Source organism: Homo sapiens, chromosome 13 (genome assembly GCF_000001405.40).
Source record: "Homo sapiens chromosome 13, GRCh38.p14 Primary Assembly".
Taxonomy (NCBI): Eukaryota; Metazoa; Chordata; class Mammalia; order Primates; family Hominidae; genus Homo; species Homo sapiens.
This window is the reverse complement of record NC_000013.11, coordinates 100,300,320-100,319,281: the sequence shown is the minus strand read 5'-3', so window position 1 is coordinate 100,319,281 and position 18,962 is coordinate 100,300,320. Positions and strand designations below refer to the sequence as shown.

At 36.9% G+C, this 18,962-nt stretch overlaps 1 protein-coding gene across 36 annotated transcripts in view; it reads right to left on the bottom strand.

Annotated features, from left to right (window-relative positions):
- PCCA (propionyl-CoA carboxylase subunit alpha) overlaps window positions 1–18,962 on the bottom strand; it is a 441,343-nt gene that overhangs the window by 211,154 nt on the left and 211,227 nt on the right. For 28 of the 36 annotated variants that reach the window (NR_148031.2, XR_007063681.1, XM_017020609.2 and 25 more), the window contains 4 exons: window positions 17,679–17,822; window positions 16,284–16,358; window positions 12,022–12,090; window positions 9,374–9,449 (listed from right to left, as the gene is read on the bottom strand). The exons of 1 other annotated variant lie outside the window; for it this stretch is intronic. Coding sequence is in view for 29 of the 35 variants with exons in the window: in XM_017020609.2 (XP_016876098.1) it covers window positions 9,374–9,449; window positions 12,022–12,090; window positions 16,284–16,358; window positions 17,679–17,822 (364 nt within the window). In the remaining 6 variants the exon portion in view is untranslated. Of the gene's footprint in view, window positions 1–9,373; window positions 9,450–12,021; window positions 12,091–13,447; window positions 13,532–16,283; window positions 16,359–17,678; window positions 17,823–18,962 lie in introns of all 36 variants that reach the window. 7 more of the 36 variants (NR_148030.2, NR_148027.2, NR_148028.2 and 4 more) reach the window with 2 other exon arrangements.

Sequence of the window (18,962 nt, the reverse complement as noted above, 5' to 3'; positions counted from 1 at the left end):
TACAGAATGGGAGAAAATTTTTGCAATCTACTCACCTGACAAAGGGCTAATATCCAGAATCTACAAAGAACTCAAACAAATTTACAAGAAAAAAACAAACAACCCCATCAAAAAGTGGGCGAAGGACATGAACAGACACTTCTCAAAAGAAGACATTTATGCAGCCAACAGACAAATGAAAAAATGCTCATCATCACTGGCCATCAGAGAAATGCAAACCAAAACCACAATGAGATACCATCTCACACCAGTTAGAATGGCAATCATTAAAAAGTCAGGAAACAACAGGTGCTGGAGAGGATGTGGAGAAATAGGAACACTTTTACACTGTTGGTGGGACTGTAAACTAGTTCAACCATTGTGGAAGTCAGTGTGGCAATTCTTCAAGGATCTAGAACTAGAAATACCATTTGACTCAGCCATCTCATTACTGGGTATATATACCCAAAGGATTATAAATCATGCTGCTATAAAGACACATGCACACGTTATGTTTATTGCAGCACTATTCACAATAGCAAAGACTTGGAACCAACCCAAATGTCCATCAATGATAGACTGGATTAAGAAAATGTGGCACATATACACCATGGAATACTATGCAGCCGTAAAAAATGATGAGTTCATGTCCTTTGTAGGGACATGGATGAAGCTGGAAACCATCATTCTCAGTAAACTATCCCAAGGACAAAAAACCAAACACCGCATGTTCTCACTCATAGGTGGGAACTGAACAATGAGAACACTTGGACACAGGAAGGGGAACATCACACACCAGGGCCTGTCATGGGGTGGGGGGAGGGGGGAGGGATAGCATTAGGAGATATACCTAATGTAAATGACGAGTTAATGGGTGCAGCACACCAACATGGCACATGAATACCTACGTAACAAACCTGCACGTTGTTAGAACTTAAAGTATAATTAAAAGAGAGAGAGAGACAGAGACAGAGAGAGATTTCACTGTTGCAAAAAGCAAATGATTACCACCAGGTATTCCTATGGAGAGGAATGAAAGGAAAACACCATGGTCTGAGTATGAGCAAAGGAGAGAACGGTGCTGGGTGCAGTGAAAAGGCCAATAGGCATTCAGCGTGTGATAGGCCATGCACAGATTCCACATTCCCATGAGAGCAACTAGAATGGGAAGCAGGGCAGGTATGACTAGATTTATGCAATCCAGAATCACTTAGGCTGCTATACGGAAAAGGGACTGAGGAAGGGCAAGAGGGAAGATGGAAAAATTCCTTAGGGGACAATTGCGGAGATATGCTGAAAAATGGCAAGGCTGGGGTCCACAGCTAGGACACTGACAATACAGATGGGAGAAGCAGCTGGACTTGACGGATATTCAGGAGGCAGGCAGGGACTGATGGCAAGAATGGGGAGATGAGGGCCAGGTGCAGTGGCTCATGCCTGTTATTGCAACATTTTGGGAAACCGAGGTGGGTGGGTCACTTGAGGTCAGGAGTTCAAGACCAGTCTAGGCAACATGGCAAAATCCCATCTCTACAATAAATACAAAAAATTAGCTGGGTGTGCTGGCTTGTGCCTGTAGTCCCAGCTACCAGGGAGGTTGAGGTGGGAGGATCAGCTGAACCCTGGAGGTTAAGACTGCAATGAGCCCTGGGCCCATCACTGCACTCCAGCCTAAGTGACAGAGTGAGACCCTGTCTCAAAACAACAACCACAATTACAAAGAATGGGGAGATGAGCACAACACCCAAAGTTCTGGCTCTGCAACATGAGAGAAGTTGCCATTTGCAGAGAAGAAACAGGTTGAGAGGAAAATAGCAGATTCATGGACAAGTTAAATTTGAGATGCCTGTGAGATGATGTCTGAATGATTAAGGTTCAGAAAAGCAGGCAGATTCGATGGTATACATCAGAAAACAGACGTTCCTACTTATGGGGGAACATCTCCCATATGTGAAGGAATCCAAAACAGGGTGAGACAGAGAAACGTGAAATAAAACCAGCAATATGCAAATCGCTCATATATTACAATAAATAAATAAAGTTCTGGAAAAAATAAGACTCTAAGGGAGGGACTGGAAGGGATGAAAGGTATTAGACCAAGGTACATCAACAATTTATTTTACCAAAAATATTGATCTTATGTACAAATAAATAATTCAGAATATTTCAATTTACAAGTGTTTTTGCAAAACAGTAAGTAAGTTAGCAGGCAGTCTCAGGATTTTTGAACTTCCCTGCCCTGGTTAAACAGAAATAGTATTGTTCATTTTGGGAGGCCGAGGCAGGCGGGTCACCTGAGGTCAGGAGTTGAGACCAGCCTGACCAACATGGTGAAACCCCGTCTCTACTAAAAATACAAAAATTAGCTAGGTGTGGTGGCGCACCCCTGTAGTCCCAGCTACTCAGGAGGCTGAGGCAGGAGAATTGCTTGAACCTGGGAGGCAGAGGCTGCAATGAGCCGAGATCATGCCACTACACTCCAGCCTGGGTGACAGAGTGAGACTCCATCTCCAAAAAAAAAAAGAATACTATTAACATATATATTTAATATTTCATATTTAACTTTACTGGCTTTCATGTTTATAGCCTACTGCTGGTATAAATTTTTTAGCTCCCTGTGTGGCCAATGTTAAAATAGGTGGAACCAAACTCTGTCATCAGTAAAATACAATATAGTTTTCAGAAATAGTTAATGACAATTTGAACAAAAAAAGAGATTATTTTCTGATGCCCAAAATTTGTGACTGATAATATTCAGAAAGTTAACATGCTTGCAGTTTCACAGGATAAATCATATGTTGTATTTGTCCTCTATATCCAAAGCTGAAAAATAGGTGTTAATTTTAGAAAAATCTAACTCAAAGGAATTGAAAGCAAATATTAATTTACATTTTGGATATCAAAGAACAGAGCCATCAAGCACGTAAATGAAGCATGGAATTTTAAAAATCTTTCTACTTGAATAGTAAATACAGCATAAAAACACAGACTTTTATCTCACTAAATGATATTTTAAAAACAAAATTAAAACACAAAACCATTTTCTCTTTAATGTTTTCTAAATAAAATATTATATATGACTATGCAAAACTAAATCGTTATCTCTTTTTCTTTCCTAAGGCCAATATGGTGAGATAATGGCTCATGGCAGACAACAAACATCTATGCCTCGACTAACTGTTCCCGAAACTACTGTCCATTAATTAATCCTAAAGCCAAAAGAGGGTAATAATCAGAAAAGTATTTTATACCTAAGAGCTCAAAAGATCAGCTAGATGGGAAGAATCACTGAAGCACTAAACAGTATCATACAGATTTGAAAGTTACCATTTTGCATTTAGTTTCTTTCTTTTCACATCCCAGGAAAGACAACACTATTTGAACAGATCCTTGTTTAAATGGTATGGGGACAGTAGAGGTATTCTTTGAGAGTTAGTTTACAACTTCAAGGATATTATTAATCACATACTCATAAAAATTATGACTGGGAGGTGTGGACTGGGAGTCAAGGATGACCTCTGGCAGAGTTCACCAGGTCCCATCTGTATGGGAAATCACCACCAGGCCACAGAGAAGAGGCCCCTAGGAGTGGCCTTCCCCTGACTGCCTGCTGGTTCCAAAACACTGCCCAGACATCAGCTAGACATGCTGCCAGGATCAAACAGAGGCCAAAAGCACTCTTATTTCATGAGGATTTTGAAATTCATTTTAACCGAATTACATTTTTGCTTCAAAGTTTCTCTATCTTAACAAAAGTTCACAATCAGCACAGGAAAAAAATATTCATATTTGAATAATTAAGCAGTTACCAAACAAGACAGTAGATTGTCTTCCCTTTTCTGCCTTTCATAAAGCAAGTTTTTAAACCTGCCTATCCTTCAGAATTAGCCAGATGAGTAATATGTAAGTTCAAAATCCCAAATGCATCTCTGCTTTTATTCTTTAAATATTAGTGGAGAGTGGGGGTTCTTGCTCTTCCCTATTTTTTTAACTTTTTATTTTGAAATTAAATTTTAAATTTTTTAAATTTTGAAATTATTTCAAAATAAAAAAATTCAAAATTATTTTGAAATAATTTCAAAATTCAAAATTTAAAAAAATTTCAAAAAAATAGTAAGCAGAATTACTATATATGGAGGTTCTACAAATGATAACATCTTATCACATTTATTTGCTTTGTCACTAATTTTTTCTATTTATACACAGATACATAATTTTCCTTCTTAAACATATGAAGGTAAGTTGCAGACAAGATGTCATTTTACTTCTAAATATGTCAGTGTACATCTCCTAAAAGCAAGGTATATCTCTTCTATAATCACAGTACAAGGATCAAAATCAGACAAGCCTAACACTGCTAACATTGCTATCACCTCATCTCCAGACCTTATTCAAATCTCACCAATTGTCCCACTTATGACCCTTACTACAAAAGAAAAACATTTTTCTTCTGGTCCAGGATCTAAACCAGGATCACACATTGCATTTAGTTGTCATGTGTCTTTAGTTTCCTTTGATCTACATAAGTTGCTCAACTCTTCTTTGTGTTTCCTGACCTTGACATGTTTGAAGAGAAGAAGCCATTTATTTTGTAGACTGTCTTTCAATTTGGTTTGTCTGATGTTTCCTCATGATTATACTCAGGTTGTACATTTTTGGCAAGAATATCATAGAAATGACTGTTGAGAGAGGAATGTCTTCTGTTATTCATAACAAGCTCCTTTCAATCATACCTGAGTTTATGCTAATGAGATGACTCTTAGAGGATGGGAGCAGGTGGCCAGAGGATCCAACCATGTGATTAAGGGGTTGGAACTTTCAGCCCCACCCCCACCCTCCAAAGGGGAGAGGGACTGAAGAATGACTTAATCACTAATGGCAGATTGATAGGATCAATCATGCCTACCTAGTCAGGCCTTCATAAAAACCCAAGGACAAGGATCAGAGGACTTGTGGGTTGCTGAACACACGGAAGTGATGGAGGGTGGTGCACCTGGAGAGGGCATGGATGCTCTGCACCCCTTCCTAACACCTTGCCCTGTGCATCTCCTCCACTGGGTTACTCTCAAGCTGTACCCTTTATAATAAACTGATAATAGTAAGCAAAGAGTTTCTGCGAGTTCTGTGAGTGATAGTGCAAATTATCACCTACAACCCTCATTCTTGGAATCACTTCACAAGTGCCTTTAGTGAACCAACGTTAACACTTTCTATCTAGAATGTGCCACATTCTACAAATCAACTACCGTGGACTCTCCTGAAAATTAATGAAATGAAATATGAAAGACGGCAAGATAATAAAGAGACATAATCAAAGACACTGTGTAACTTTGGGCCACAGATGGGATTAAAAAACAATAAAAAAAGACTCCGAGGGACAAGCTTAAATATGGACAATACATGAGATGAAACTGTTAGGTTGCTGTCAATTTTCCTTGGGTGTAATGATGGTATTGTGCTTTTTTGCAGGAATGAAATGGCCACTGCAAAAATTATGACACTGAGAAAAATCCGACCTAACCAACTTTATCTTGCTTTTAACCTCCAAGCTGCCCCTGTTCATTCCTGGGTGTAGGCCATGCTAACTATAAGAGGAATTTAATTTATACTTTAACTGTAAAACAATGAAAACAGCCCCTTCCCAAAACAAACCCCCTCCTTGTCTGGGGAACAGACTGCATTTGTAAAACTAACATTAGAAATTAAGGCTCAGGAGTCATGCAGCCAGACCAGCAAACTGGCTCAACTAGTTCTGTGATCTTACCCAGTAACTGAAGGTAGCAAGAAGACCCTGCCTCAAGCACCTATAATTTCATCCCCAAACCAACCAGTCAGCATTCCTCACTCCCTGGCCCCCTGCCCACCAAATTATTCTTTAAAAACCCTAGCCTCCAAATTTTGGGAGAAATTTATTTGAGTAATAAAACTTCAGTCTCCCATTTAGCCAGCCCTGTGTTTATTAAACTCTTTCTCTATTGCAATAACGCTGTCTCAATAAATAGACTCTATCTGTGCAGCAGGCAAGAAAAATCCAGTTACAGGAACATGGTCTTCCCCTTAAGAAGCCTGGTAAAGTATTCAGGAGTGATGCGCCATGATGTTTGCAACCTTCTTTCAAATGGATCAGGAGAAAAACAGAGAAGAGAATGGAGGGAGGAAAGGAAAGAGGAAGGGTGAGAAAGGAAGAGGAAAAGGCAAAGAAAGGGAGAAATAGAGAAAGCAAATATCAAAAAAAAGTTTATTAAATAATAATCTAGGTGAAGAGTACACAGGCATGCACAGTACTATTCATTCATCTTTTCTATAGATTTGAAAATACCTAAAATTAAAAAGTCTAAGAGAAATGTGTCAAGAAAAACCCCTCTCTCATAAATCCTTTGAGCTTAAAAAAATTATTGTGATATGTAGATGTCCACACCTTTCTCTGTGCTCATCCAACACAATTTAAAATATTTTAGGATGAGAAGATGGTTCAAGTGATATGAGAATGTACTACACATGACTACAAATTGCTTTTCTACTTTAACGATTCATACAAACAGGTCTTTAAGTCACAGCTGCATAGTATTTTATAGTAATAATGCATTGTAATTTATTCAGTCATTCATCCATTTAGCGGACACTGTGGTTGGTCAGCATTTTGGCTACTACAAACAATGTTGTTGTAAATGTCATGGTGAACATGCTCATAATTCAGTTTTTTAACTCTATAGGAAAGATTCACAAAAGATGAATAGCTGGGTCAGAGGGTATGCACTTTTATTTTAACATCTAACACCAGATTATTTTCCCAAAATACTATAACAAGTGATACTGCAAAGACGCTTGAGCGTGCCCATCCCCTTTATTTCACCTACACAGGACATTACCAGTCTTTTTAAAAATCCTGCCACTCTGAGGATCATTTGAAAGCAGAACAAAGTGAGGTACTCTCGACAGAGACACAGAGACACTATGAGTCCTAAAGCAGTACTAGTTACTTTCAAAGGACCAAGAGAGGCGAGAAAAGAAAGATATGCTAGCCTCTTCCTTAAACTCCCACTACCCTTTTTCAATCCCCTATTGGGGCACCTACAAAGCTATATTAATATTATACTTATCTTTTCATATGTTTTCACACCAAGTATATTAGTAACTCCTTGAAATCAGGGATAGTATCACTTGCTCACTCATTCATTCATCCAACAAACATTTATTAATCATCTAGCATGTGTCAGACACTGCTAAGCACCAGCAATATGCATACAAACAAGATAAAGATCATCAGTGTCCTCATGTGCCTAATAATCTTATAGGATAACCCAACATTTCACAGTTAATTACACAATTAATACTTTAATTTTACAGTGACGGTAAATTCTCTGGAGAAGTATTTGAACAGGGTGCAATGAAAGCATATAACCTCCGCACACAGTATTAGAAATTACATAAAACGGTCTTTCAATATTGTTTATCTATGATTTAGTAAATTTCATATGACTAATGGATTGATAATGTGATTTATAACACATGGCTTTTATTTTTATTTTTTTGGAGACAGAGTCTTACACTGTCACCCAGGCTGGAGTGTGATGGCGCGATCTCATCTCACTGCAACCTCCACCTCCTGGGTTCAAGCGATTCTCCTGCCTCAGCCTCCTGAGTAGCTGGGACTATGGGCACCCACCACCACGCCTGGCTAATTTTTGTATTTTTACTAGAGACGGGGTTCTGCCAAGTTGGCCAGGCTGGTCTTGAGCTCCTGACCTCAAGTGATCTGCCCTCCTCAGCCTCCCAAAGTGCTGGGATTACAGGCGTGAGCCACCACGCCTGGCCTTGATTCTTAAATATATGGTTTTATTAAGTGTGAGGAAAGAGGAAGAAAGGATGACAACTAAAGTTATTGAACAACATAAGCCAGTGTGGTGCCAAGCCCTTTATATACTTAACCTCAGTTAATCCTCACCAGTAATTTATAAGGCAGAGACTATCACTCCATTTTTCAAATGTGGAGTATGAGATTCAGAGAGACAAAGTCATTTGACAAAAATCACGTAATTATTTATTTAAAAAAAAATTTTTTTTTTCATTGAGACGGACTCTCACTCTGTCACCTAGGCTGGCATGCAGTGGCGTGATCTCGGCTCACTGCAAACTAAGCCTCCCGGGTTCAAGCAATTTTCTGCCTCAGCCTCCCAAGTAGCGGGGATTACAGACGCCCACCACCACGCCTGACTAATTTTTGTATTTTTAGTAGAGACTGGGTTTCACCATCTTTGCCCAGCTGGTCTTGAACTCCTGACCTCACAATCCACCCGCCTCAGCCTCCCAAAGTGCTAGGATTACGGGTGTGAGCCACCGTGCTTGGCCAAAAATCACATAATTATTAAATGGCGTCAGGACAGGGGCTATGAACCTAGCTTTGTCTGGTTTCTGTCTACTACATCACAGTAATTCAAAGGCAAAATTTCAGACTAAGCCTGGAAAAATCTACCTATACAACAAAATTTATTTTTTATATGTGACACATATAAAGTTAGGAGAATAATGGCAAGCCTACTTTGTATTTTAGTCACTTAAAAACTGTAGTAACTGGTGAACCTATATATACATATATAGAGTAAGCAAATTAGTGGGAAAATGTTCATTTAAGTATAAAACATGAAATGGTATTCATGTAAATACAAAAGAGTACTCCTTTCAGAAGCCAGATGGAGTAGATAAATAACTTCTAGTTGGGACCAAAACTAATCTAATATTTTGACAAACTGCCCAGATGCCATGCCCCTATGTCGTATTATATCACAGTTTAACAGAAATGAGTTTTGACAAAATATTCTTATTCAGACTCTCAAATTCATGGATTTACTGCTCAAGCACATTAGAGTAAAAATTAAATTAACCAAAATCTAGTATTTCAATTACCACAATAAAAATGCAGAGATAAAAAGGGAGAAAATCCCCATAGAATGTGCTTACAAATACTTTAATGTCTTCCAGGAATAATCTTCCCAAGTAACTTATTTATGTCTATCTAAACTCGCATATATAGATAAACATAGATAAACTCACATAAACTGAACGTGTGTCCCAAATACGCACTAAAGACCTCTCCACAGCAATATTACTTCTGTAAGAAAAAAGACGCCCTCCTGAAGGCCTGTGTAACCAATGTGTACTGGTTATATAGAGTAATATATATGTTAGGCATATAGAGAAAATATGCATTTGCTTAAAACAGTGGAAACGGCTATACTTGGTATGGTGGTTTGATGGATTTGAGTTTTTCTTATTTCTCTTTAAGCACATAGTGAGCAAATGTGCTGTGCCATATTCTCATTGGTAAACCCCCAGGCTGTTCTCTGGAACTGGACACCATATACAATAACCAACGAGTGCAAATCTTTGTTTTTACCTCGAATAACATAGTTATCCAGTGCATCTGCCATTCTCTTCAGTGCCTCAGTTCTATCAGAGCCATATGTGATTAGCTAAAAACAAGCAAACAAAAAACCCAATATATATATATATTTAGAACTATGTTAAATGATTCATTTTAGTAAAAATTAAAATATTTCATAACAGATTTCTAAATATATCTCGAAATTTTATGATAGTTCAGTTTTCAATACATGTCAATTATGATTTTTTAAGTATATAAATATTAGAATCAAGCTATTTCAGACTCTTCTCCTACATTTCATTATCATAGTAAAGAGTGATTTTACAAAAACAAAAACGTAACAAAAGTAAGTACAGAAAAAATTTAAAAGGAGATACAGCTAAACGTGAATATATGAGATAGGATTTGAACACCAAGGGTAGTGGTGAGGATTAGATAAGACATTTTTTCCCTATTTTTCTGTGGTTTCCAAGTTTGATACCCTGAATAGCTAACACTTTCCTTTCTTTTTATTTTTTATTTTTGAGATGGAGTCTCGCTCTATTGCCCAGGCTGGAGGGCAGTGGCGCAATCTCAGCTCACTGCAACCTCCGCCTCACAGGTTCAAGCGATCCTCTCGCCTCAGCCTCTCGAGAAGCTGGGATTTCAGGCGTGTGTCACCACGCCCAGCTAATTTTTTTGTATTTTTAGTAGAGACAGGGTTTTGCCATGTTGGCCTGGCTGGTCTCACACTCCTGACCTTAGGTGATCCACCTACCTCAGCCTCCCAAAGTGCTGGGATTACAGATATGAGCCACTGCGTCCAGCCCTTAACACTTTCATAACTAACAAAAAAAGTAAAGTTTCAAAAATAAAAGTATAAAGAAAGAAGACGACTATCTTAGAAATCATTTGCAGTTTTACATATAATATACACAGAAGCAAATGGTACTTTTTCAGAAATCAAAAAAACAGAAAAGTCTTACTATTCTACATGATTTAGTGCCTACTTATATGTATCTCTATAATTTGGCAATGAAATAAGACCTTAACTATTCATTAAAGATTTTTCTGGCAGTTATATTAGCCAATCTATAGATTGTGATTATTTTAGTAGGTTTTACTAGCTCTTCAATATCAAGCAAATTTGAAAATTAATTTGTAGGCCATTTTTCTGAAGAGAAAAACATTCATCTAAAAATGGAATATTTAAAAATCAACGTATAATATTTTTACATAGTTTTATTTTTAAATTAAATGGTGGTTCTCTAATAAACAAAAGACCTAAATTTTATTTTAATACTACTAATAACTTAGGCCAACCACGGTGGCTCACGTTTGTAATCCCAGCACTTTGAGAGGCCGAGGCGGGTGGATTGCTTGAGCTCAGGTATTCGAGATCAGCCTGGGTAACATGAGGAAGCCCCATTTCTACAAAAGATATAAAAAAATAGCCCTGCATGGTAGTACACACCTGTAGTCCCAGCTACTTGGGTGGCTAAGGCAGGTGGATCGCTTGAGCCTGGGAGGTCAAGGCTGCACTGAGCCAAGATCATGATACTGCACTCCAGCCTGGGTGAAAAAGGGAGACCCTATCCCAAAAAAAAGCACTAAAACCCTAACTGAAGAAAGACAGATAAAAAAGTGTTTGTTTACTGCAACTATAACATTAAAAAGGACACTTGGGGAAAAGCCATCTTGAGAAACAAGGCTTGAAAAACAAATCATTCCTCAATACAGATGTATCATTTCAGAGAACACAGAATTTTCAAAATAAAATCCACAATCTGGCCGGCCATTGTGGCTCACGCCTGTAATCCCAGAACTTTGGGAGGCCGAGGCGGGCGGATCACGAGGTCAGGAGATGGAGACCATCCTGGCTAACAAGGTGAAACCCCATCTCTACTAAAAACAAAAAAAATTAGCTGGGCTTGGTGGCACGAGCCACCCAGCTACTCAGGAGGCTGAGGCAGGAGAATCGCTTGAACCTGGGAGGCGGAGGTTGCAGTGAGCCAAGATCGTGCCACTGCACTCCAGGCTGGCGGACAGAGCGAGACTCCATCTCAAAAAAATAATAATAAAATAAAAATAAAATCCACAATCTTAATTATTACAGCATTTTACACTTTATACGGTTTTAAGGGTTTAAAGATCCAAAAATTCAATTCATTTATTCTGGAAAGTCAAACTTCAAAAAGACAGGTGGGCAAAACAAATCTTATACTCTTACATCACATCTACTTAAATAATTGGTAATTTGTAAAAACTGAAGAGAAAAGATCAAAAAGTACTCTAACAAACACTGCCTATCAGCCCAACTCTTGCCATTCATTCATACTTCCATCTCAGGTAATTTCTGCCAATGGCCAAAAAAAACCTTAATTCCTTCTCATGGCAATGAGTTAGGCTGGCACCACTGGTTAGATGTTTATTATTATTATTGTTCATGCATGTGTGTGATGGTGTGGCATGATTTAGTTGGGGAGGAGGAGTACTACAAACTAACATAACGCTGAATTTTCTCTCAAGAGAAAAAACCTGCTCTGCTTTCACATTTACATCAGTGCATAATTAGTTGTTTAATTATAGCTTATGATTCAGATAAAGGCCCAGTTTCAGACTCTTTAAATATCATTGATTTTTCGAAGAAATCAAATAATCCATTGAGAAATTAAACTAACTTTTGAAATCATAGGATCATAATAAATGCTAATATCACTTCCTGGTTGGATGCCACTGTCCACTCGGACCTGGGAGAAAAAAAGAAAAAAAGAAAAGTAATTCATATTGTGTAGATATTTTTTTGTAACCACCAATTTCATTTCCATGGAGAAAATGGATAGAGAATTTCAATCTCAAATAACATTTCAACTTCTGGAAAATAGGAAAACAATCTAAAATCTTGATCCGTTAATATGTAATGCAACACATTTTTTGTTCTGCCACTGAATGACGAAACTAAAAAACAGCAAAAATAAAAAATAAAAAATGAAGACTTCCTACATCACTATGCCAGGATGCTGTGGCTCTCTGATGGTGTCTTCCAGCTGAAGCATGGCATGGACGATGCCCTTGCTAACTGCACTCCCTGCCAGACCCTTCTGAGCCCACCAGTGAGGCCCCTCGTCAAGCCTGGTCCTCAGCTCCATAGGAATGTGGGCCTGGGCCTTTCATGTCTGTAACACTTTCCTTTTCTGCCTCACCCTCTCAACTGTAAAACACTATTTTTCTGTTACTGTTGCTCCCCTGAGGCTTTCATGTTTACACAGCTTTTCCTATGGCTTTGCTTTGTAAAGCCCCAATTAGAGTTCTGATTTTGTGATTTTCTTGGGGTGGGGGGTAGGGGGATAGCACAAGTTCAAAATATTCTTTTGAAGAGGCTGATTGCTGTTAACCAGCCAACGAGTGAGTTAGTACATCACTGATTCTTGTTTTCATTTCCCAGTTTGATACCAGCAGCAAGGCACGGAGGTTAGCCATGCAAAACTTTAAAAATGAGCAGTTACTGAGGACAGAACATTTATTAAATTATTAGAAAGAAGTTTTGGAATCTGAAGTATTTAAAAGCTAATCAAAATACTTCAGACTGTCAGGCACATCCTAGGGGTCTTGAGGATGGAGGAACTGAATCAAAGCTGCTGGAACAGCAGGACTTTGATGCCCAACATTGTAAAGGGGTGGGAAGAGAAGAGCGGAAGCTCACGTAGCCTTCCACCTGTGGGAAGAAGCCTTCCTAATAAACAGCAGCTCATCTGTCTGCAGCAAGGCAGAAAAAGGTCAACACAGCGGCTGTTAGGCCTTTAATATTTTAATTTAGGCAATTATCAAGGGACCACATGTAGAACCTCTTGTCTAGGATATCCACATGAGGGTATAATGATGGCTTTATTATACGGTGACATCAGAAGACAAGCGATAGTTTCATTTTCTTAAAATTCACACTACTATTATTCTCTTTGTAAGGTTGTAAAAGGAACACTATAACATACCTGAAGGGCTTTTATTTCTGTATTTGCAAGCACAAACAAAAATATAGATATCTGTATTCGTATTCACATTCATATACAAAAATCTTAATTATAAACAAAAATCATTCAGCACACTTACGAAATATACTTGGCTTTCTATTTTCTGAAAACATATTTCAGGACATAAACTGATGTTCTATGAAATTCACAGTGTTGACAAAAACTAGAAAAAAATTAATGGAGCAGCTTTAAAAGCAATAAAATCACAATCTACCTTTTCCCCACATTAAAGAGCCCCAAAATGGCAACTAGTAAACGGGTTACATAACAGAAAATATATCTGTGAGTTTTCATTTTCTTAATTTTAGTACTAAAAAGTGAAAGAGCTAATTTGACCACTATGTCATCTTTAAAACCACAGCATGCTTGCTAATGCTGTGTTTACAAACGAGACTGATACAAGTTCTAAAACTTCTGACTTTAACTACATCCTATCATTTGCTACATAAACTGCTACAAAGCTAGGAAGAACTTAGATGTTCAACCCACAAATAAAATAACATAGACAATAAAGAATATTTATTATGTTCTTCTACAGTTCCTTACTTAAAACTTCAGTTGCCTTGAATAATATCATCCTATAAGGTGTTACCTACAGATCTTAATTAAATATAACTGTCTTTGTTATTTACTAATATTATGATCACAGAAGTTATGTCATCTTAACTTTAAAATACATACGATAAAATCAAGATATATATAAACACGTATCTTTGTATAAGCAAATCAGTATTCCCAATTAAAAACTGTACCACAGTATGAAAACTCTGCTTTATAATTTACTATTTATGCTGCTTTTTCCAAGTAATAATCAGCTATATTTTTATTTCTTAACAACCAATCTGAAGTCAGATCAAGTCTCCATTCCTTCAATGAAAGGCTATACAAATTTGCACTAAAAACTTTAAGAAAAAATTCAAATGAAATCAGAACCAAATTTCTGAGCAGAACAAAACTGTGGTCTGAAAATAACAAATTTACAAAACATGATGATCAAAAATAAAAAAGGAAATCTTCACCTCTGCCATATTAATAAATCTCAGGCTTAATGAAGCATGTGAAAAGTACAAACCATAAGTTAACTCTTAAGTATGCATTCTTGTGACCAAAAAAGGTAAGAGCCAAAAATTGTTTTCTAAGGTAAACTGACTGCTCTAGTTTTAATAAGACAAGGAAGAAAAACAAACAATAACAACCACAACAAAACACCCAAGCACCTCTGTACGAGATTCTCAAACCACTGCTCAGAAACCTCTAGCATAATTAAAATTTCTGTCTTCAGTACCACAGTGGACTCTGTGAAACTATCAGACATCTCCCACCCTTCATTCTCAATTCACCTCTCCCCCTAAGCACAACTCCCAGCCCGCCATGTCTACCTGACAAGTGACAGCCCAATCTGATTAAATGCTTCCAAGGGAGGGGACTCATGGGCCTCCATGACAGGCCAAAAGTGATCACCATGGAGATACATAATTACAGCTGTCAACGCATCTACTGTCCTGCTGACATCAATTTGATTGCTCCCAGCAATAATGATAGACAAAGCTTAGTGTGCACTCTCCTGCACCCAATCACTTTATCTACTCCTTGGTCCATTTAGCTGACATGCAACATTCACACAAGCAAATAACAGCAGTAAGCAGAACATTTAAGGCATTTTAATTGTTTTTTCTTTCTATGGATGGCTCACAACTGCAAATGTTATTACATAAAACTCCTGCTGCAGCATTAATTGAAGAAAGATTTGGTGGGATGAAGACTGTAGGGGGTATAGTTTGTCCATTATCACTTGTACTTTCAACAGGTCTCACGTTTGAAAATTGCAAATTGCAAAAACTTGCGAGGGCAAAATGTTTGACATCCTGTTAGCTATTACAACATGGTGAAAACTTCTAACAACTAGAGTAATCATTATGAATTCTTATTTAATACTTCTTTTGTTTGATTAAAAAAGTGTTTAGATATGTCCCTATGATACTTGTTTTCTCATGTGCTATTTAACGTCACATAATGCCTGTTAAATCTTCACAATTTTTTTTCTGCCTTCTGGCTTTGAACACAGCATGGAGTCTCCAAGCACAGAAAGGGTCAAGTCCCTTTAGAAAGCACATGGGCAAAAACAATTTAAAAAGTGAAATAAATCATATATCCAATAATATCTTCAGATTTAGAATTCTTCCTGTAATCTTTCACCATCTTCATGCCAGTAATCAAAATGAATAATTTGAATATTCACAGATGGTACAGCCTTGTCATCTACTAGCTAACATAATGTCATATATATATATATATATGCACTTATTACCTTGATTAAGAAAAAGGGTATGTCCTTGCTCTTTTTCTGCAACAAAAACTATTTTCAAAATAGCTATTAAATACAGAAGAGCTATGGAATAAAATGGACAGTGGTCACTTTTATTTAACTGATATAAATATTATTACTCTTTAAAGTCCATGAGGTTTAATAGACTGAGGCACACTTTGTTTGCCTTAATTCAATCTCCTTAAATTTCAATTAAGGAGCTGATTTTGTGCTTGAATTTCTTGACAAGTGACTATATAGCAGGGTTGGACTCGATTTATTGAAAAGATTAAATTGTAACACAAAACATCATTTCTCATTCTTAGGATTCACAGCCTTTTTTATTATAATTTTCGAAAGAATTGGGAACACTGTAAGCTATCATTTATATCATCAGATGTCCCCAGGCTTCCCCTGTCCAGTGAATCCTGACTTTCTTGAACACCACAAAATACTGAAAAAAATTTGTTTTCAACACAAAAACCATGATTCCCATGAATTTCACTTGTCCTTCAATTTACACCCTTTGGTGTTGACATGCTTTAACATAAAAGTATGACATAAATCACGATTTTAACCCTTCAGCTGGTATTACAGCTTAATGACTTACACCAGGTAGATGTAACGGTTCTTGGTACTGAGACAATCTCCCAATAGATGGTAAACCAAAAGACTTGTAGGGGTCCTGAAAGTTCAAAGGAAAGGAAGCACAGTCTTTGAAATATAAATCAGCACAAGTAAGGTTAAATATTTACACAATGAAGAACCATTTATAGGTCTATTTTCAACATATGGTATTTACCAAATCACAGATTTCAGAATATTATTGTCTTTTACGCTAGACAACTTAGAATGTACTTAAAAATCAAACAGAACTGTAAGCAGAATTTAGCCTGACCTTGTTCATACTTTATTGAAATTGGTAAAATTCCAACATTTTATAAAACTTCTTAGAATGCCTTGGGCAAAAAATAAAATAACCTAGGCCCTACATCAAAACATACTCAAGTTTAGAACAACAAATGTGGTATACTAAAGATATTTGTTTTTCTTACTTCTCAAAACAGTTCACATATGGTAAAACTTGAGAATTTGGGTTCTTCAAATAAAGACCTGAAAAAAAAAACTTTGCACGCTACTAGATATGCACTTCATTTGTAAATATCTTAGATCATCAGAATAAACAGGTTCAGTGTCATAAGAATGAAAGTAATACTACTTAAAATATGAAAAAAGCAAGAGCAATACAGTCACGCCAAAACATATTTTTGAACTCCTTGAAAAATATTTCAAACCAGCTCTCAGTATTCTTAAACACAGACACTGATTTATTTTTAATCTTGACAGACATTTTTGATGTCGAAAAGTAAAAATAGTACAAATGTTACCTTGCATTCTTGTTTTAGTCATTTGAAAAAAAGCATTTAGAAGTACTGAACTGAGAGTTTATGAGTAAAACCCAAAATTAAAATTATAAATTAAGAGTACATGTTTTACTAAAAGCTTTACAATTTAAATTTTGATTGTTATTTTTATGTAATAATAAAGGAGAAAATTATACAAAAAAAAGGTTGGGAAAAATTTTAAGTAAATATCTGATCAACAACTAATGTGTACCCAAGGTGGGCATTTTTTTAAAAAACCCATGGAAATAAATGCTACTTCTTGTTAGTGTTGTTTGAAAATAAACAAAGAAAATGCAAACAAAACAAAAACCATGGTCCATTCAAGCTCAAGAGTATTTAACCAATGCTCTGTTGCCTCTTAAAGGATTGGTAGCTATTTCCCCATCTACAAATACATGACAATTAACTAAGCCCAATTCTTTAAAACTATCTGGAATTAGGTCAAAATTATCTAATTTTTTTCTGATTTAATTATGGATTACGTAATCCAATAGTTGGCAACATTATAAAACCCTAACTTTACCTCATTGTTTGGCTATACCAGGTCTCATGACTCTGGACATAACCACCATCCTTCCTCCCAACACCATTCATTTTACCTCAGCATAAACCCGACATTCAACTGCCCAGCCGTTGATGCGAATATCAGCTTGTTTGTGCCTGAGAGGGTAGCCCTTAGCAACACGGATCATTTCCTGGACTAGGTCCAGGCCAGTAATGCATTCTGTGACAGGATGCTCAACCTGCAAGGCCAAGGTCTGCCAGTCAGTAGGTGTAGAAAAGGGTAAATAAATAGAAACAAACAAGAAAAATCACAAAAGTTTTTGGGTAAAATGAAGTTAATCGAATGTAACATTTGAACATATTTGACTAAAAAACTCTTGAGCTAGGGGAATAAAATGAAAGAATAAACACAATACACAAATCATAAGAAAAACTAAGGCCTAAAAGTATTTGTAAACTATCTGTATTATTTTTCTCAATTTTGATTTATCTGTGGTCCAACAATATTTAAGAATTTTAATTTTGAAACTAATTCTTAACCAAAAAGCTATATATTTATTTCACGGCAATCTTCAATGTGGCCGATAATCAACCTATTCTGCTGCACTTAACGTGGCATCTACAGGGGCAGCTTATGATTTTCCAAAGCACTAGTCCACCCTAAGTCTCACCCACTTGCATGCTTTCACTAACCTGTCCTGACAAGCAGCCAGATTAGTGTAATCTTGCATCGAGGCAGTGTAGCAGAAGGGAGCAGATGGATCCTTCAGGTTGCTTTCCCTCCACACTGACTTGGGTAATGCTTAGCATGCACAATTGCAAAACAGAGCCAGTGCGATCGCTCTGCTCTCTCAGCAGATTGCTGATAACTACTTGGGCTGATGCTGTCATGCATGTACCTGGCCTTCTGCACTAACACATGAGATATGTATGTACAAAAACATGTGCTGACATATAGGTACACAAACAGGGATACATGTCAACATAAACTTGGTCGATCACTTAGAAATTCTTAACCTTGAGTTAAAATGAAGCCACTTAAGTCACTGGAAAAGTCTACCGTTCATCTAAAACCTTGAATAAGTTCTAAGAATTTAAACAAAACTTTGGCCACATCTGCTGCTTTGATGTCATTTTTTTCTCATAAAAATTAAGTATCTTCTAAATGCACTTCACAATAGTTTCTTTATCATGACATGTCATATTTCATACACTCTGACACAGGAAAAGGTCAGTGAACAAACGAATTATCTTCCCATCTTCAACTACACTAATTGAAGGACAGGACTTAGTCATTATAATAATCTTGAAGCTTATCATAAGCAGACAATGCCATAGTCTTAAAAAAAAAGCTTTGTAAAAATAAACAGATGGCACCC